The sequence below is a fragment of the Homo sapiens genome, chromosome 20 (assembly GCF_000001405.40).
Source record: "Homo sapiens chromosome 20, GRCh38.p14 Primary Assembly".
Classification (NCBI taxonomy): domain Eukaryota; kingdom Metazoa; phylum Chordata; class Mammalia; order Primates; family Hominidae; genus Homo; species Homo sapiens.
In genome coordinates this window covers 44,275,291-44,295,782 of record NC_000020.11, presented here as the reverse complement: position 1 = coordinate 44,295,782, position 20,492 = coordinate 44,275,291, and the positions used below count along the sequence as shown (strand labels likewise).

The 20,492-nt window shown below is 45.6% G+C and overlaps 1 protein-coding gene and 1 long non-coding RNA gene across 7 annotated transcripts in view; one reads left to right on the top strand and one right to left on the bottom strand.

Moving 5' to 3' along the window:
• Nucleotides 1–4,427: 4,427 nt before the first annotated feature.
• On the top strand, nt 4,428–8,057 carry LOC124904910 (uncharacterized). The gene is made up of 2 exons (XR_007067597.1): nt 4,428–5,265; nt 6,339–8,057. It is a non-coding gene; the product is annotated as an uncharacterized LOC124904910 (long non-coding RNA).
• Nucleotides 8,058–14,835: 6,778 nt separating this feature from the next.
• GDAP1L1 (ganglioside induced differentiation associated protein 1 like 1) overlaps nt 14,836–20,492 on the bottom strand; it is a 33,849-nt gene continuing 28,192 nt past the window's right edge. For all 6 annotated transcript variants that reach the window (NR_046353.3, NM_001256738.2, NM_001256737.2 and 3 more), the window contains one exon: nt 14,836–16,826. Coding sequence is in view for 5 of the 6 variants with exons in the window: in NM_001256738.2 (NP_001243667.1) it covers nt 16,483–16,826 (344 nt within the window). In the remaining variant the exon portion in view is untranslated. The remainder of the gene's footprint in view (nt 16,827–20,492) is intronic.

Below are 20,492 nucleotides of genomic sequence, written 5' to 3'. Positions count from 1 at the left end.
GACAGGGTTTCTCCATTTTGGTCGGGCTGATCTCAAACTCCCGACCTCAGGTGATCTGCCCGCCTCGGCCTCCCAAAGTGCTGCGATTACAGGCGTGAGCCACCGTGCCTGGCCATCTTTAATTGCCTTAATGAAGTCACGGGTTGGAAAATATAAGTTTTAAAATGTCAGGCACCTATGGGGGCTACGTAATATTATATTTTTGCCTAAGGATGTCTCTCTCAGAAGCCTGGGCACTATAGTTCCTAAATATCCCCCAACAACCCTGAAATGACTTAGTATCATCAATATAATAATAAAGCAACCATGAATAACATTAATAACAAGCATTTGTTCCTCATTTTTTTATTTAGGGTCTGACATTTTTACTGTATTTTCTCACCTGTAGTTACCAACAACCTACACCATAGAGAAAATAGCAAAGGCTTTGGCTCCTAACACATCTGATGCTTCATATCCCAGCTCTGCCATTGTATTAGAGATTGCTGTAATAATGAAACCGCCTTTGCAAAATTATAGTAGGAAATTATGACAGTGAAAGAAATCAGACCTAACCGACTCCATCTTGCATCTAACCTTTAAGCTGTCCTTGTTCATTCCTGGGTGTAGGCCAAACTAACTTTGGAAAGGAACTCAGTTCATGGTTTGACTCGGAAACAAAATTGATAATAGCCGTTTCCCAAAAAGACCCTCTTCTTGCCTGAGGGCCAGTCTGCCTTTGCAGGACTAACAAATTAGCTACAAGATTAGAAATTACACTTCAGGGGTCATGCAGTCCCTGGCTCCAAGAATCTGAACACCCCCAAATTGCTCCTGGGGATAACAACACTGCTGTAAAACCTAAGATCAGTGCTTGAGATATTTTGCAAATCCTGCACTCCATGGATCAGCTGACACTAACCAGACCGGTAACTGGGCTCAACCAGTTCTGCCATTCAACCCAGGAACAGAAGACAGCAAGAAAACCTTACTTCAACCCCCTATGATTCCATCTCCAACCTGACCCATCAGCACTCCCCACTTCCCAAGCCCCTGCCTGCCAAATTATTTTTATTTTTCTTATTTATTTTTTACTTTATTTTTTTGAGATGGAATCTCACTCTGTCACTCAGGCTGGAGTGCAACAGTGTGACCTCAGCTCACTGCAACCTCCGCCTCCTGGGTTCAAGCGACTCTCCTCTCTCAGCCTCCCATGTAGCTGGGACTACAGGCACGTGCCACCACACCCGGCTAATTTTTGTATTTTTAGTAGAGATGGGGTTTCACCATGTTGGCCAGGCTGGTCTCGAACTCCTGACCTCAAGGTGATCCACCCGCCTCGGCCTCCCAAAGCGCTAGGATTATAGATGTGAGCCACTGCACCCAGCAACCCAAATTATTTTTAAAAACTCTGATCCCTGAATACTTGGAGAGACCGATTTGAGTAATAATAAAACTCCGGTCTCCTGCACAGCTGGCTCTAGGTGAATTACCCTCTCTTCATTGCAATTCTTCTGTCTTGATACATTGGGTGTGTCTAGGTAGTGGGTAAGGTGAACCCATTGGGTGGTTACAATAATGCTTTACAACAAGCCACCTCCAAACTCACAGGCTTACAAATGCTCACAGATCAACTGCAGCTCTGCTGGTATGGGCTGGCCTCAGCTGGTGAGTTCCGCATCAGGCTGCCCATTGGCTACACTTGGCTCCAGGCCACAGCTGGGCTCTGCTGTTCCACTTGTTTCATTCTGGTGTCCAGGCTTAAAGGGCAGCAACTGTATGGGGGCATGCTCTTCTCATCAAGACCACTGAGGCACCCAAACCTTGGCCAAACCATACAGCACATTTAAAGCCTCTGCTTGGCTGGGCGCGCTGGCTCATGCCTGTAATCCCAGCACTTTGGGAGGCCAAGGTGGGCAGAGCACCTGAGGCCAGGAGTTTGAAACCAGCCTGGTCAACATTGGTGAAACCCCGTCTCTACTAAAAATACAAAAAATTAGCTAGTCATGGTGGTGTGTGCCTGTAATCCCAGCTACTGGGGAGGCTGAGGTAGGAGAGTCACTTGAACCCAAGAGACAGAGGCTGCAGTGAGCCAAGATCGTGCCACCGCATTCCAGCCTGGGCAACAAGAGCAAAACTCCATCTCAATACATACATACATAAATAAATAAAATAAGGCCTCTGCTCCTGACACATCCTTCCTCTAACCTTCTGTGGGCGCATCAATGGGGCAGGGAATAAACTCTACCGACAGTGGGAGGTCCTGCAAAGTTTCATGTCAAAGGCCAGGAATGTACAATCCAATTGGGGAAGACGAATAGTCTAATCTACTGCCTTTACCTTCAGTACTTGAACTCTCTGAGCCTCAGTTTTCTCATCCATGAAACATAAAAACTGCACTTCTCAGGGTTAGAAATAATTTATGTAAATTTCAGAGTGCATAGTTAGTAGTCAATGAATGGAAGCTATTATTATCAGCTCCATTTCAGAGATGAGAAAACTAAGGCCTTTAGGTAATGTAGGTTGCTAGAAAGGAACCAAACAGGTCTTTGGAGATAAGCTGATGTGATCTAGGCAATTGAGTCTGTGACTTTGGCAGTGAGGAACCAATGAGCTAAAGAAAATATGCCCTTTAGAAGCCCTTACTGTCCTCCCCAGCAGGAATCCTGTAATGATGGAGAGACCTTTCTTAACAGTCTAAACTTTGGGGACACCTACTACCACAGTCCTGGCAGTGTTGTCCATCAGACTACTGAACTCTGATAGCCACCGTCGTCTTCATTTCTGAAGCACCTGATGGCAACTCATAGAAGGCTGGGCAGCTGACAGATTTCTGGGTAAATGCCTATGTATTGACACTTCCTGTCTCCCACTCTGGATTTTCTCCATGATGTTCTGAGAGACAGAATGGGACCAGGAGCCAGGCATGGTGGTGCACGCCTGTAGTTCCAGCAACTCAGGAGGCTGAGATGGGAGGATCACTTGAGCCCAGGAGTTTGAGGCTGCAGTGAGCTATGATCTCACCACTGCACTCCAGCCTGGGCAACAACAGAGTGAGACTCTGTCTCTAAAAATAAAAATAAAAATAATGGGACCAGGGAAAGGACTCCTAGGGCTCTAGTCCTCTTACAGTGGGATCCTGACCAAACCAGACATCACCCCATGCAGGGCCTTGGTGTCCCATATGTAGAACAGGTGGGTGAGGGGTTTCCAATGTCTTCCAGCCCATACCGAGTCTGCCATTTTCTTTCTTTCTCCTCCTCTCCTCTCCTCTCCTCTTTTCTCTCTCTCTCCCCTTCCCTCCTTCCTTTCTTCTTTCCTTCCTCCCTCCCTCCCTCCCTTCTCTCTCTCTGTTTCTCTCTTTCTCCTTCCTTCCTTCCTTCCTTCCTCCCTCCCTCTCTCTCTTTCTTTCTTTCAAGACAAAGTCTCCCTCTTGTTGCCCAGGCTGGAGTGCAGTGGCGCAATCTCGGCTCACTGCAACCTCCGCCTCCCAGTTCAAGCAATTCTCCTGCTTCAGCCTCCCCCTAGTAGCTGGGATTACAGGCGGGCACCACCATGCCTGGCTAACTTGTATTTTTAGTAGAGACAGGGTTTTACTATGTTGGCCAGGTTGGTCTCAAACTCCTGACCTCAGGTGATCCACCCATCTTGGCCTCCCAACGTGCTGGGATTACAGGTGTGAGCCACCGCGCCCAGCCAGAGTCTGCCATTTTCTCCAGCAGTCTACCTGATCTTCTTCTCATTCACAGTTATTCCTTATGCCAGAGGCTGCTAGCTGTCCAGGAAAATCTGTTCTCTTCTTCCTTAGCAATAGACTACCCAGCCAGATACTACATTTCCCAGCCTCCTTTGCAGCTGGGTGAGGCCCTCCATTCTTACCATTGGAATGTGAGCGGAAGTGATATGTTGCTCTTTCAAGTCTAGGCCTTAAACTATTGGGCATATGTTCCTCCATCGTCTCTTTCCTGTCCTATCACATAAAACCCGGCTTCTCATGATCGAGTTTTGACCATGCAGATGAAGACAATGCACTGGAAGGTGGAGTAACAGTCAGCAAACAGACACCGGCCAGTCTGCACCACTGAACTTGTTAATGGGAGATAACTGAACTTCCCCTACCCCTTTTAAAGATTTTAGTGATGGGGTTTCACTTTGTTTTCCAGGCTGGATTTGAACTCCTGGGCTTAAGCGATCCTCCTGCCTCAGCCTCCCCAAGATAACTGAACTTTTACTCTCTTTTTTTTTTTTGAGATGGAGTCTTGCTCTGTTGCCCAAGCTGGAGTACAGTGGCGCCATCTCAGCTCACTGCAACCTCCGCCTCCCAGGTTCAAGCAGTTCTTCTGCCTCAGCCTCCCGAGTAGCTGGGATTACAGGTGACTCCCACCATGCCCGGCTAATTGTTGTATTTTTAGTAGAGACAGGGTTTCACCATGTTGGCTGGTCTCAACTCCTGACCTCATGATCTGCCTATCTCGGCCTCCCAAAGTGCTAGGATTACAGGTGTGAGCCACCATACCTGAACTTTTACGCTCTTAAGCTCCAGGTGTTTCTTCCCTCTTGTTAAAACAGCTCAGCGTTCACCCTAATGATTCTGCACTTCCCAGCCCCTGTATTCCATCTCCTTTATTCCCACTTCTCCAAGCTGGGGTTCCTCATTCTCTTCATGCAGATATCCTTAGAAAAGCTACTGTGTGTTGGCCATTTATTGGAGACAGCTCATTTGGGCAACAGTCTTTCCACAGATTCTAGGAAGAGTTGCCAGCTCTTCTAACAACTGAAGACCCTCCCTGTCTCCAAACCGAGATGGGAGTTTCTCTGTCTTTGCTGTGGGCAGTCATCCCCAAATCTCAGCAGACTCTTCCTGCTGATCAGTCTTTCACTTATTGTTCTGGCCAAAATTGCTTTCCATCCTGCTTCCAGAGTTCCCCTTACCTTCAAGCAATATTGCTCTCTTCTTCAGCCCCAAAGCTGGAGGCTCCCTGGGGGTGGGGACTGGGTCCTATTTAATGACTCTGGCCCAGGGTAGGTGCTTCCGGAGTGTTTGTAAATGGATTCTCCTCCTTGTCCTCCTGCTAGGGATCCCGAGCCCAGGGCAACACTAATCTGCTTCTGCTCCAGCAGACAGAAGAGGCTGACTGGAAGCATCCTCCCAGCTCTAATCCTTGGGACCCCCCAAACAGGCATCTGTGCTTTCTCCCTGGAAGTGAAATGGTCAAAACACCTGTCAGAGAGTCAAGAGAGCTGTGCTCAGATCTGACTCCACCTTGACTTTGTGTGCAACCTTGGGTGAGCTACTTAATCTCACTGAGCCTCAACTTCTTCATCTGAACAAGGAGTATGTGTAACACTCTGTGCCCTTTCTGCATCTTAGGGTGGTCTTAAGGGTCAGATGTTTGTGATGGTACTTGAAAGCACCACGATAATTGCTTTAGCATGGTTTCCTCAGAAACAGACTCTGAGATGAGATTTACATTTAGAAGGTTTATTGGGAAGTGCTCTTGGAAACATCACCTGCAAGGGAGTGAGACAAGCAGGGAAGGGCAGAGAGAGAAGTTGAACTATGATGCAGTTGTTCCAGAACCTTAGCTGATCCTGTGGAGAGTTGTGGGTCTCGGATGGCCCTTCAGAGATGTCCTAAATTGAAGTAAGGAGGGTCAGACCTTTCTATCTCTGTACCTACCAGTCGCTGGATGTAAGCTACCCTTAGGGAACTGGAGTAACCTTGAATGAGACAGCTCCCTTCAGCTGAGGCAGTGCCCCAAGAGGGACTCAGCTGTGAGCCATTAACAGCCAATCCTCCCAGCCACTGGGGGAGCAAGGGTGGCAGTCCCAGTACCTATTACAACAACAATATAAATAACCCATGCAACTGTAATAATAACTGGAATAATAACATTCTATTGCAAATGTACAGCACTTGATTAATTTATAAAGTAATCTCACAATCATTATCTTAGTTCCTCAACATAATCTGCAGAGGTAAGTAGGGGGTGAATTTTTAACTTTGTATTTGAGGCGAGGGACCTGAAGTTCAGCAGGGTTAGTGTCCTGGGCGATGCCCGTTGACTCTGACCTCCACCCTTCCCCTCCACGTGCTCCTCTGTATCCCCAGGATGGGAAGCCTGCATTGTGCATTTCTCATCCTGCTTTCCTCTGGGCTCTGCTAGTGGAAGACACTGGTGGAGATTGGGAGGTGGAGGAAACGAGGACATTTTTAATTTTTTCTCTGATTCTAGAAATGGGCTCTGACAGTGGCAGTGGGTGACTGAAGGTGACTATAGATGATCCTGGGCTCTAACAACATGAAAAGCATTTTAGCAATCAGCAGGAGTGGGGGTTTCTGTTTTTTTTTTTTTCAGCAGCAGCAGTGAAGTAACATGAGCTTCAGTAGCGACAGCAGTGCCCCCAGTCATTCAGTAGCAATGGCAGGCTCATGGGCTCCATTCCATTATTCACATACAGTTTGGACCCCTGTGGGTAAAATCAGATGAATCTGCCAACCTTGAACCTCCAAATCAACCCAGGTCCTCTTTAACAGTGGAAGCAGCCCTCCTCCTCTTCTGAGAAGATCATTCTCTTGCTGGAAGACTCGTAATGACCTCATCCAAGACAGTTTCCTGCAAGGGGGTGCCTCACCTCAAGGCCAACTCCAGCACCCTTCACTGCTTCCAGACCCTTACACACCCCAGGAGAGCAAGTTCAAAGTCTGACCCAAAGAGAGTCTATGATACCAAAGAATAAAAATGTTTTGTTGATGTATGTTGACAGAGACCTGGGGGAGTATGTGTGGCAATGGAACATAAAGATGCCAGACCAAGAAGAACAAACCATATTAGGCTGGGTTAAATTTATGGATATTCATGCATTTTCTGGAGAGTCTAGATTTAATATGTTATCTCAGCATTTGCGAGTGACTCTAATGGTTTCCTGGATTGACTGACTGAAACCTGGACTTAGTGGTGGTCTACATTCATTGAAGTTGAGATGCTAGAATTTCCCTAAGATACTATTAAGGGAGGAATTCGAAGTTTTAAGGAAATAGAAATGTTGGGATGGATTTACTATGTACGGTTTTTTAAAATATCATGGGGTGACATCTTTCTTTTTTAATTTTAATTTTAATTTGTTTTGAGACAGGGTCTCACTATGTTGCGCAGGCTGATCTGAAACTCCTGGGCTCGATTGGTCCTCGCATCTCAGCCTCCCAAGTAGCTAGGATTACAGGTGCCCCACCACAGCCAGTTGTTATGTATGACTTGACCCTGACCCTATCACCTTAAATAACCCTATCATTTAAGTCCACCAGGGGGGCCCAGAGGACACTCCTTTCACTAAGTCACTGAGCAAGCACTGGCAGAGAAAGCACTAGTACCATTCAAAAGCCCTGGAGTACTTTCCTCTATAGCCTAGGTGTGACAGTGGGAAGTGCCACCACTGAAATGGGCTTCCTGGTTTTGATGAGGAGTGGCAGAGTCTAAGTGGCAGCACTTACTGCCAGAGATGAGTTGGGTGCAAACTCCATCATAGCAGCAGAGCCATAGCAACCACTGGAATATTTTGACCCACAGGGACTTTTACTGGAGGTGAATTCATCATATTGTCCCTAGAAATCAAACATTTGAGCAGTTTAAGTCTTACTTGCTCTGTATAGTCAGAAAAACTTTGGGTCCAGTGAGCAGAGACCTAACTTTAAGTGGAGACATGGTTTGGCTGTGTCCCCACCATAATCTCATTTTGAATTCCCACGTGTTGTGGGAGGGACCCAGTGGGAGCTAATTGAATCATGGAGGCAGTTCCTTCCCATGCTGTTCTTGTGATAGTAAGTCTTACAAGATTTGATGGCTTTGAAAAGCTGGAGTCTCCCTGCACAAGCTCTCTCTTTGCCTGCTGCCATCCATGTAAGACATGACTTGCTCCTCCTTGCCTTCCACCATGATTATGAGGTTTCTCCAGCCACGTGGAACTGTTAGTCCAATTAAATCTCTTTCCTTTGTAAATTGCCCAGTCTTGGCTATGTCTTTATCAGCAGTATGAAAACAGACTAATAAAGTGGTGAAACAGGCTCACCATGCACTGGCTACCAACTTGTCTGAGTCCGGTGGGACAGAACACTCATATTCACAAGTTACATGAAGCAGATTTATTACTTACAGATAGGAGCAAAGGACAACAGAAGCCTGGTCCCCCAAGCCTCAGGAATGCTGCCCAAGGTGGATAATGCCTTGACTGTGTATGCCTCACTTGCACTGCAGCAGTGGGACCCTGGAAGTAGCTTGGCTTGGGTTTTATGACCCAGGGCAATGTGATCACTGGGCTAAAGCACTGAAGGACATCCTGTTCGGGGCGGGCTTTGGGGGGATTGGAACAGAGCCCAGGAAGTTCTGGCTAGTCCCTTCCTATGTCAAGATATTACATTCCAGCACATTCTACTGTTGTTTTAGAGAATTGTAAACAAGAAAGTGGGGAGAACTGGATCAGTCCAAGGACACCCAGAGAACTGTCCTGCAGAAGTAATCTCTTACCCAGTTCAGTGCCCTGGGGCCCATGAAATGTAGGGAAGGCTAGATCTCCTTGAGAAAAGTTCCTGTGACTGTCACAAGTATAAACTATTTTCCTTTAAGCTCTTCAGAGGAGCCTAACACTTACCTGAGTGTATCCCAGAGAAAAGGAAGAAATTTCAAGAAAGAGGGAAATACCCAGAGCTTTCAAGGTATATTCTACACTGGCTCTGATTTGAAGCTATTCCCTGGGGACCCAAAATGCTACTATAATCACAAGCAGGGCTTATTTCCAAACTCATTCTATGAGGTCAGTATTACCCTGATACCAAAACCAGACAAAGACACATTAAAAAAAAAAAAGAAAGAAAACTACAGGTCAATATCCCTGATGAACATTGATGTAAAAATCCTCAACAAAATACTAGCAAAAAGAATCCAACAACACATTAAAAAGATCATTAATCATGACCAAGTGGGATTTATCCCAGGGATGCAAGGATGGTTCAGCATATGCAAATCAATCAGTGTGATACATTATATCAATAGAATGAAGGAGAAAAACCACATGATAATTTCAATTCATGCTGAAAAAGCATTTGAAAAATTCAACAACCCTTCATGATAAAAAAAACTCAAAAAACAGGATAGAAGGAACATATCTCAAGACAATAAAAGCCATGTATGGCAGACGCACAGCCAGTATCATACTGAATGGGGAAAAACTGAAAGCCTTTCTTTTAAGATCTAGAAGAAGACAAGGGTGCCCACTTTCACCACTGTTATACAACATAGTACTGGAAGTCCTAGCTAGAGCAGTTAGACAAAAGAGAGACGTAATGAGCATCCAAATTGGAAAGGAAGAAGTCAAATTATCCTTGTTTGCAGATAATATGACCTTATATTTGGAAAAAACAAAAGACTTCACCAAAAATCTCTTAGAACTGATAAATTTAGAACTGATAAGTTGCAGGATGCAAAATCAATGTACAAAAATCAGTGGCATTTCTGTATGCCAACAGCAAACAATCTGCAAAAGAAATCAAGAAAATAATCTCATTTACAATAGCTACAAGTAAAATAAAAACCTAAAAATTAATTTAACCAAAGAAGTGAAAGATCTCTATAATGAAAACTACAAAACATTGATGTAAGAAGTTGAAGAGGACATACCAAAAAAAGGGAAAGATACTCCATGTTCATGGATTGGAAGAATTAATACTGTTTAAATGTCCATACTACCCAAAGCAATCTACAGATTCAGTGCAATCCCTATCAAAATACCAATTACATTCTTCACAGAAATATAAAAAATAATCCTAAAATTTATATAGAACCATGAAAGATCCAGAATAGCCAAAGCTAAAGAATAAAACTGGAGAAATCACATTACCTGGCTTCAAATTATACTGTAACCAAAACAGCATAGTACTGGCATAAAAACAGACAGATAGACCAATGGGAAAGAATAGAGAACCCAGAATTAAATCAGTATGTCTACACTGAACTAATTTTCAACAAGGGTGTCAACACTAAAAGGCTGCGCATGGTGGCTCACGCCTGTAATCCCAAAATTTGGGGGAGCCAAGGCAGGAGGATTGCTTGAGTGTAGGAGTTTGAAACCAGCTGGGGCAACATAGTGAGACTTTGTCTCTACAAACAAAATTTTAAAACAAAAATACTAAAGAGGCCAGGCACAGTGGCTCATGCCTGTAATCCTAGCACTTTGGGAGGATGAGGTGGGGAGATCACTTGAGGTCAGAAGTTCGAGACCAGCCTGGCCAAAGTGGTGAAACCCGTCTCTACTGAAAATACAAAAAATTAGCCAGGTGTGGTGGCACGTGCCTGTAGTCCCAGCTACTTGGGAGGCTGAGGCAGGAGAATCACTTGAACCTGGGAGGCAGAGTGAGCCGAGATCGTGTCACGCACTCCAGCCTGGGTAACAAAGCGAGACTCCATCTCAAACAAAAAACTGAAGAGTATAATTGGATTGTTTGTAACACAAAGAAAGGATAAATTCTTGAGGTGATAGATACCCCATTTACCCTGTTATGATTATTATGCATTGTATTCCTGTATCAAAGTGTCTCATGTACCCCATATATACCACAGAAATGTAAAAGTAAATAAATTAACAAATAATTTTTAATGAGGCTTATTGGGATTAGGTGATAAATGGAGTTTTGGTTTGAAAACATCTCATAGCGAGTGGACCAGTGGCTCTGTGGACCCATCTGTGATTTTTAACCCAGGTCCTGAATATGTTATTGGAACAAACAAATTTAACAGCTAGTGGAGCCTACACAGGACTCCTTGACCCATGGAATGAGGACTACTTAGGTAAAAGGACGAAGAGAAAGCTCCTGGAACTTCACACCACCACCACCTCACACACTAGACTAGTAAACTAAAAGCAATACTGTAAAAGGGATGGGTTCAGAAGAAGGATAAGGTTTTACTGTGAACCCCCTCAGGTGGTAATTCAAACCGCAGTTTTTTCAGATGTGGTTTCTTTATTAATGCAAATCAACACAGTATTTAGCACTTTGTATCCAGCTCTTGGTCTAGAAAATGTTTATTCTGTATATCAAATTGATAAGAATCACCAAAAGTCATTTTTTTTTTTTTTTGAGATGGAGTTTTGCCCTGTCACTGAGGCTGGAGTGCAGTGGCGCAATCTCGGCTCACTGCAACCTCCAACTCCCAAGTTCAAGCAATTCTCCTGTCTCAGCCTCTCGAGCAGCTGGGATTAGAGGCACACGCCACCACACCCAGATAATTTTTGTATTTTTAGTAGAGATGGGGTTTTACCATATTTGTCAGGCTGGTCGTGAACTCCTGACCTCAGGTGATCCACCCGCCTCGGCTTCCCAAAGTGCTGGGATTACAGGTGTGAGCCACCATGCCCAGCCTCATTTGCCTTAATTGGCAGGGCAGTAGCATATCACTTTCTTCCATGGGACTATGTCAGCTTTTCTTTTTCTGTCATAATCTAGTGTGTAGAGACCTTGATTATCTTGATTATCTGTAACAAAACATTGATCCTCTACATTGATGACATCATGCTGTAACTAATGAGCAGGACGCATCAAGTACACCAGATGATTCACTAAGACCCAGGCATGCCAGAGGGTGGTATGTAAACCCCATGAACATTCAGAGTTCTGGAAACCTGGTAAAGTTTTTAGCAACCCAGGGATCTAGGAAATGTCAGGATATCCCCTCCAAGTGAAAGATAAGTTGCTGCACCTCCTACTAAGAAAAAGGCACAATTGGTGGCCCTCTTTGGATTTGGGAGGCAACATACACCCATTTGTTCTTATTTTTGTCTTTGTTTTTGATGGGGGTCTCACTAAATTGCCCAGTCTGGTCTCAAACTCCTGAGCTCAAGTGATCCTCCTGCCTCAGCCTCTCAAGTAGCTGGGATTACAGGCATGTGCCACTGTACCTGGCAATACATCCATTTGTGTACACTGCTCCAAACCATTTACTGAGTAACCCATAAGACTGCCAGTTTAGAATGGATCCCAAAGCAAATTCAGGCTACAGTATAAGATGCTCTGCGAGTTCAGCCTTATGACCCAGCAGATCCAGTGGTATTTAAATCACATATGACATAGGCATCCAGTATGGAGCTTCCAGCAAGCCCTAATAGGAAAATCTCAGTGCACATCCCTAGGGTTTGGGACAAAGTCATGTCCTCTTCTGCAAACAATAATGGTCCTTTTGAGAAATAACATCTGGCTTTCTACTGGGCCCTGGTAAAGACTACACGCCTGACCAGGAGACACCAGGTGACTATGCAACCTGATCTCCCCATCATGAACTTGGTATCATCTGATCCATCAAGCCATAAAGCTAGGCATATATGGCAGCATCATTCTATCATCAAGTGAAAGTGATACAGCTCAGACGATGGCATCTATTTCACCACATTGCTGCCTCTTCCTCAGTCAACACCAGAGGCCTCTTGGCAAATGCCCTATAATCAGTTGATGGAGGAAGAAAGACTCAGGCCTGGCACCACCTGGAAGTGGATGGTTGCAGCACTACAGGAATTCCCCGAAAGACATTGCAGAAGGCAAATCCTCGCAGTGAACAGAATTTCAAGCAGTATGTCTGCTTGTCTGCCCTATCAAGATAGAGACAGAAGTCCAGGAATATAAATCTGTACATATTCATGGGACGGATGGTTTGGCCGGATGCTTATGAACATGGAAAGAAGACTGGAAGATTGGTAACCAGGAGCTCTGTGGGAGAAGGAATGTGGATGGACCCCTAACAGTGGACACAGAATGGGAGGATATTTGTGTCCTATGCACATGTTCCCTCAAACAGTACCCACTGCAGAGGAAACCATTGTTCAAGAAACCAATGGACAAGATGCCTTGTTCTGTAGCTGTCTGTCATTCTCTTTCCCCAGCCACTCCAGTGCTTGCTCAATAGGCTGATGTACAAAAGGGCCATGGTAATTGAGCTAGAGGTTATAGATGGATACAACAACACGGACTTCCTCTGATTAAGACTGATTTAGTGAATGCCACTGCAGAGTGCCCCGTGTGCACAGTTCCTAATATGACACCATTCGCCATAGGAACCAGCTCTCTGAGGGCAGATAGATCATATTGAACCCCTTCCATCACAGAGGAAGCAGCAGTTTGTACTCACTTATTCTCTCTATGGGTTTGCCTTCTCCGACCACTATATCCATGGACTTATGAATGCCTTGGTTCCAGTGTTGGTATTGCACATAACATTGCTTCTGACCAAAGAGTTGATATTATCGCAAAAGAAATTCAGCAATGTGGTTATACCCATGGGATATTGTGGCCTTACCATGTACTCTCTTATCTAGAAGAAAGTACTCTCTTATCTAGAAGCAGCTGGTCTTATCGAACACTGAAATGGTCTCTTGAAGACTGGTACAGTGGCAGCCAGGAGACACTGCAATGTGGAGTGCTGTCCTACAGGATACAGTATGTACTTTGAACCAACCACAGTGCTGTTTCTCCCACTGCCAGAGAACACGGGTCTAACAATGCCAAGGTGGAAGTGGAAGTGACTCTCACTATTATACAAATAACCCATTCATAAAACTGTTGCTTCCCATCCCTGACACTGTGGATTTTGATAGCTTAGAAATTATAGCTCCTAAGGGAGGAGTACATCTATTGAGGAATAATTCAATGGTTCAATTAAGTTAGAAGTTGAGACTGCCACTTGGCCATTTTGAGCTCCTCATACCCTTGAAACTACAGGCAAAGTAGTGTGTTTCTCTACAGGCTGGGGTAATTGAGCTGATTACCAGGGCTAAACTGGGTTGCTCCTGCACAATGATAGCATGGAAGAATAGGGGATTGTCTGCAGTGCCCCATAATACTTCCACATCCAATAGTAATGGAAGACCATAGCAATCTAAGGACCACCAGAGTCTGAGTCATGTCACCAGGTTAAATACGCTAACTAACTGAGGTGCTGGCTGAGGGCAAAGAGAACCTAGAATAGCTAGTGAAAAAAGAGAAACTGTAAATATCAACAGTGGCCTTGGAATCAATTACAGAAATGAGACCTATAGCAGTTCTGAGTATTTTCTTTGCTTGGGGTGTGTGTGTGTGTGTGTGTGTGTGTGTGTGTGTAATTGAATATAAGGAATGCTAGTGATGGTCAAATTTATGTTTTCATCTGAATATTATAGTAGATTGAGGTGTGGGTGTGATCTCTAGAGCTAGAGGAGGAATGAGAAGAGAATCCACCGTTATCCAGAGTGATGTTACTGACCGATGGGGCTTTGTGAGTCTCATTTTTGGAGAGAGGTTTAGCACGTCCTCATTGCAGGAGGCAGTAAATCCTGTGGGGATTGAGTATTATATTGTTGTTCTTGAGTGGAAGTTGAATGAAGAATGGGGAGAGTCTGTGTGGATGTTTGATTTTTTTTTTTTTTTTTTTTGAGATGGAGTCTCGCTCTGTTGCTAGGCTGGAATGCAGTGGTGCCATCTTGGCTTACTGCAACCTCTGCCTCCTGGGTTCAAGCGATTCTTGTGCCTCAGCCTCCTGAGTAGCTGGGATTACAGGCATGCGCCACCACACCCAGCTAATTTTTGTATTCTTTGTAGAGACGAGGTTTCACCACGTTGGCCAGGCTGGTCTTGAACTCCTGACCTCGTGATCCACCCGCCTTGGGCTCCCAAAGTGCTGGGATCACAGGCGTGAGCCCACACCCAGCCTGTGTGAATGGTTGATTAGCCAAGGGGATGGATGGTGCCAGACAGTGTTCATGGTCTCTAAGTTCCACCTTTGCCCTGTCTTGGCCCTGGATGACTAAGCTTTCTTTTTACCTTGATGAAAAAAGATGTGCAAATTCTTAATACTTTTTTTTATTGCAAAATAAGTAAAACCATGCCTTATATTCTACACATTATACTCCTGATTTAATGTTCTTTGGGCATTTTAAATACATTTTTCCCTCTGGGAAATTGGGGTGGGGGGCATGTGCCCTGGGTGCCCCCTGAGGTCCATATATAGGTTTATTTTATTTTATTTTCTAGAGATGGGGTCTCGCTATATTGCCCAGGCTTGTCTTGAACTCCTGGCCTGGAGCAATTCTCCCGCCTTGGCCTCCCAAAGCACTGGGATTATAAATATGAGTCACTACACCTGGCCCTTGCACAGGTTAATGAGAACAAAGGGTTGTACACATGCCCTGTAACCTGTAAAGGGCTGAGCCTAAATGAGCTGGGTTGATGTTAAGGTCAGAGCCCTGGAAAGTCAGTCTGGAAGCCAGCCCCAGACCCAGCAACTTGAGACAGGCAGTCAACTCTTGCTTGCTCTTGTGAAGAACTGAGACTGAAACCTCACATCTCTACCCTTCTGGCTCCAGCACTTGGCAATGAGAACTAGATGGACAGCACAGGTTTAGAAATGAAAAGCAACTGTTCCTCCTGGATGCTTTATTGGGGCTTTTGGTGGTTTCTATGCATGAGCGGCAGTGACACCAAGACCCTTTCCCAACATGCAAAAGGCACAGGAAAGTGAGACCCGACTGGGGTGGGTGGCATGGATGCAGAGACTTCCCCGCTCTCCCCGGCTCCATGGCACCGTGTAGTACAGGGACAGCCCCGGGAGTGACAGGAAGGGGGGGATATTGAAGGAGATGGCTTGGACAGAGGCTAGGAGGGGGACCTAGGTTTGTCCACCTCCAGATCCGCCCCTGCACTTGGGCTGGACTGACCTTCTGAGAGAGGGTCAACATGGCTTTTACTGAAAGTCCCACCTCACAGGGTAGAAAAACTCAAGGTAGGAAGAGGATGATGGCTGCTGCCTTCAGAGATTTCTACTAAGGCCAAACCCAACACATGGACCAAATCAGAAGGACAATGAGAGGGTGTGCTCATGGTATCCGTCCCCACTGCAGCCTGGTTTTTGGGTGCCACTGCCTTGGCTCAAGCTAGTCCATGTCCAGGAGAAGCGTGAAGCCCCTTCTGATCTTCAGGGACCTCCCATGGGGTCTCCGGTTATCCAGCCCCATTCAGAGGTACCGGTTAGAGGAGTTGAGTCTTGATGTCGGCTTTGTCCTGTGGAAGAGTTCCCTGGGCAAGAGGGAAGGGGAGGTGAGGGGTCAGGCCCTCTGAGTCCCCAGCACCTCCCAGAATCTGGGCCCTGGTGGACGAAACATCCTGGGACTCACCTCAGATCCTAACCAGTCTCCACAGTTCCATCTTGAGACCTTGAATCGATAGAAAAGGCATTCGTGTTTTCTGTTTTTTGTTTTTTCTCTCTCTCTCTCGCTTCCTCTCTCTCTTTTAGTAGAGCCGTGGCCTTGAGTCACAGCATTGGCAACGTCTACTTCTAAACTACGGAATGTTTTCACACTGACGGTATTATTACTCAGAACGAAGGGCGGGGAGGGCTGTCCAAGTGTTCATGAGACAGTGAGTTACTGAGAGCTCACGGGGAATCACACAGCACAGAGACACCGACAGTCAGACACCAAGCCCCAGGCCTGGCCCTAGATGTATTTTTTCTTGAGGTACCAGTAGGCAAAGTAGCCCATCCCACCCAGGGAGCCCATGAGGAAGGACGCCCCGAAGAAGGATGGGGGTTTCCTCTTGACCAGCCGGAAAGCATTGGGGATGACGGCCGACAGCAGGGTGGTGTGGATGTCACCCAGGACTTTCCGGAAGGCAAAGCGTCTCTGGACCCTCTCAAAGAAGGACTGCAGGTTGGGCCGGCTGCCATCTTCCCAGTATTTCTTGGACAGTCCCAGGAACTTGAGGCGGTGCAGGGTGGCTCCCAGGAGGACATCAGCGAGGGTGAAGGCACAGCCACAGAGCCACAGCTCGCATTTCTGCCCTAGAGTGGAAGAAAGAGGAGGCAAGGGGATCAGCCTCCCCTAACACACACACTTGCTTCTCTCCATGAGCTCCACTGGCTTCTGCATGCCTGCCCCAGTATTTTCTGAGGGTTACTCATTCCTGTACAACTTCAGTGATTTTTGCCATATCCTCATGCTACTTCTATTATTATTTTTTTGTTTAAATCGACTGTTTTTCTTTTTTTTTATTCTTTTGTTTTCTTATCCTCATTTTACAGCTGATACATCAGCTGACTTTTAAAGTGCAAATACGTGGCCAGGCATGGTGGTTCACACCTGTAATCCCAGCACTTTGGGAGGCCAAGGTGAGCAGATCATTTGAGGTCAGGAGTTCAAGACCAGCCTGGCCACTATGGTGAAACCCCATCTCTACTAAAAATATAAAAATTAGCTGGGTGTGGTGGTGCACACCTGTAATCCCAGCTACTGAGGAGGCTAAGGCAGGAGAATTGCCTCAACCTGGGAGATGGAGGCTGCAGTGAGCCAAGACAGTGCCACTGCACTCTAGCCTAGGTGACAGAGTGAGACTCTGTCTCAAATAAATAAATAAATAAAGTGCAAATATGTGTCATGAAACTCCAGACACATATACAACTACTCCTTTGACAGTTCCACTTGGTGTCTGCTCTGCATTTCAAACTCAAAATGGAATTCCCCCCAGAGCCACCATGCTCATCCCCATCTCAGTAATGGAACCTCCACCCTTGCAGTTGCTCCGCCCAAAAGCCTCGGAACCACCATTAATTCTCTTTCTTTCTTTTTCTTTTTTTTTTTTTTTTTTGAGATGGAGTCTCACTCTGTTGCCCAGGCTGGAGTGCAGTGGCACAATCTAAGCTCACTGCAACTTCTACCTCCCAGGTTCAAGCAATTCTCCCGCTTCAGCCTCCCTAATAGCTGGGATTACAGGTGTGCACCACCATGCTTGGCTAATTTTTGTATTTTTAGTAGAAACAGGGTTTCACAATGTTGGCCAGGCTGGTCTTGAACTCCTGACCTCAGGTGATCCGCCCACCTCGGTCTCCCAAAGTGCTGGGATTACAGGCATAAGCCACTGCGCCCGGCCCCACCATGAATTCTTTTTCACCCCCACATACAATTTGTCAGCAATTTCCATCAGCATTGTCTTCAGATAACTTTGGATATCTTCCAGAATCTGATACTGCCTCTACTTGTACCGTCCTTGTCCAAACAACCATTATCTTCTAAGTTATCACAATGTCCTTTTAAAAGGTTTCCCTGTTTCTGCCCTTGTCCCCTAGAGTCTATTCTTAGCACAGCAGCCAAAGTGGTCATGTTAAAGTTTAAATGTCGGAGAATGTCACTTCTCCCTTCTCAGAATCCTCTAATGATGATGCACTGTTGTGGCCAGAGTAAAAGCGGAAACCCTCCCAAGCCCTGTAAGGCCCTGTGTGATCCAGCCCCCAGGTACCTTTCAGACCTCAGAGTCTGCTTCTCTCCCGCTTCCTCACTCTTCTCCAGCCACATTGGACTCCTGCAACTCCTCACATCAGGGACATTCCTACCACAGGGCCTTTGCCCTCGCTGTTCCCCCTGCCTCAATCTTCTCCTGCACAGCCTCAGAGCTCATTCCTCTGCCTCCTTCACATCTTTGCTCACATGCCATTTTCTCCTGGGCTTCCCAGACTGCCAATTTAAAACGGAAGTTTTGGCTGGGCGCCGTGGCTCACGCCTGTAATCCCAGCACTTTGGGAGGCCGGGGTGGCTCTACTAAAAATACAAAAATTAGCCAGGCATGGTGGCGGTTACCTGTAATCCCAGCTTCTCAGGAGGCTGAGGCACGAGAATTGCTTGAACCCGGGAGGCGGAAGTTGCAGTGAGCCAAGATTGTGCCACTGCACTCCACCCTGGGCAACAAGAGCGAAACCCCATCTCGAAATAAATAAATAAATAAATAAAAATTAAAAAAATAAAATGGAAGTTTTAAATGGAAATTATAAATTGGTGGTCTGTGAAGCCCAGGAGAAGCTGGCATGTGAGCAAAGATGCAAAGGAGGTGGAGGAAGACCTTACCCAGCAGTCACTCTCCCCTCTCCTGCTTTGTTTTCCTCCATAGAACACAGCGCCACATTGCACCATCTACTTGACATTCTCATTTTGTTTATTGTCTGCTGTCCTCTACTAGAGTGGAAACGCCACGAGGGCAGGGATTTTGGTCTGTCTTGTCTGTGGCTACATCCTCTGCATCTAGAACTGTGCCTGGCATACAATAGGTGCTCAATAAATCTTTACTGAATGATTGATGAATGAAAAAATAAACTGTATCATTAACAGTAGTATTAAATGATTCACTATAAACTATCTGCAATGGTAAAAGTAAACATAACAAAAACAAAACAAATGCAATTAAATTCCAGCTGGATAATACTGCCCGTCAAAGTATCTGCTCCCAAGACTGGCTTCTTTCTTTCTTCCCTCCCTCCCTGCTTGCTTGCTTTCTGCCTTTCTTTTTCTTTCTTTCTTTCTTTCTTTCTTTCTTTCTTTCTTTCTTTCTTTCTTTCTTTTTCTTTTTTCTTTCCCTTTCTTTTCTTTTCCTTCCTTCCTTCCTTCCTTCCTTCCTTTCCTTCTTTCTTTCTTTCTTTTTGACAAAGTCTCGCTCTGTCACCCAGGCTGCAGTGCAGTGGTGCAATCTTGGCTCACTGCAACCTCCACCTCCAGGGTTCAAACAATTCTTCTGCCTCAGCATTCCAAGTAGCTGGGACTACAGGTATGCACCATCATGCCTGGCTATTATTTTTTTTTTTTTTTGGTATTTTTACTAGAGATGGGGTTTTGCCACGTTGGCCAGGCTGGTCTTGAAATCCTGACCTTAGATGATCCGCCTGCCTCGGCATCCCAAAGTGCTGGGATTACAGGTGTGAGCCACCACACCTGGCCTCATTTTGATTTTAAGAAAGGGGCAGATGTTAAACACATATTATAAAGGGGTTAAGCACTAACATCTTACTAATACTCTTTCTTTGATGTAATCAAAAGAGGATAACTCACACAACGTGGTTTTACATTATTTATCACCATGTTTTTGTGTCATCTAAATTTAGCTTGACTATTGCATTTGGGATTAAGAAAGAAAAAATTAGCCTGCATTTTTAGAAAACACTTGTTTGTGCAATATTTTCTCCTAGTTGTTTTGACCTGAAATTCTGGAGCATCTTTGGTCTCTTACATCTCCTCTTTGCTCAAAAATCTTTAATTCTCCCCCACTGACTACACCTTAATGTCCAAGTTCCTGTGCCTAGACGTTAAGCCCTTTCAAGAGTGAGTTTAGCTTTAATATGTCTATAATCTTGACTCCTCATGAATTGCCCATTGGTCCACTGTCTTCCCCAACAAGCTGCCACTTCAGCCTCCGGGCCTTTGTCTCTGCTGTACCCCATGCCCGGAATGCTCTCCCCTCTCCCTTCCCTTCCTGTGATGGCTGCTTTCCTGGGAGGCTTGCCCCCGCACCTTTGAACAGGTTGTTCCTTTCAGTTCAGGAATTCCATGAGTCCAGTGCTCCCTACCGTCAAAACCTGAGCCCCCTCCTTCTGCTCTACATCTTCTTGGTCACGGATTCATTCATTTAGCAAGTGGTTACCTGGCAGTATGTGCTGGGCATGAAGACACGACACAATACAATGTCTCCC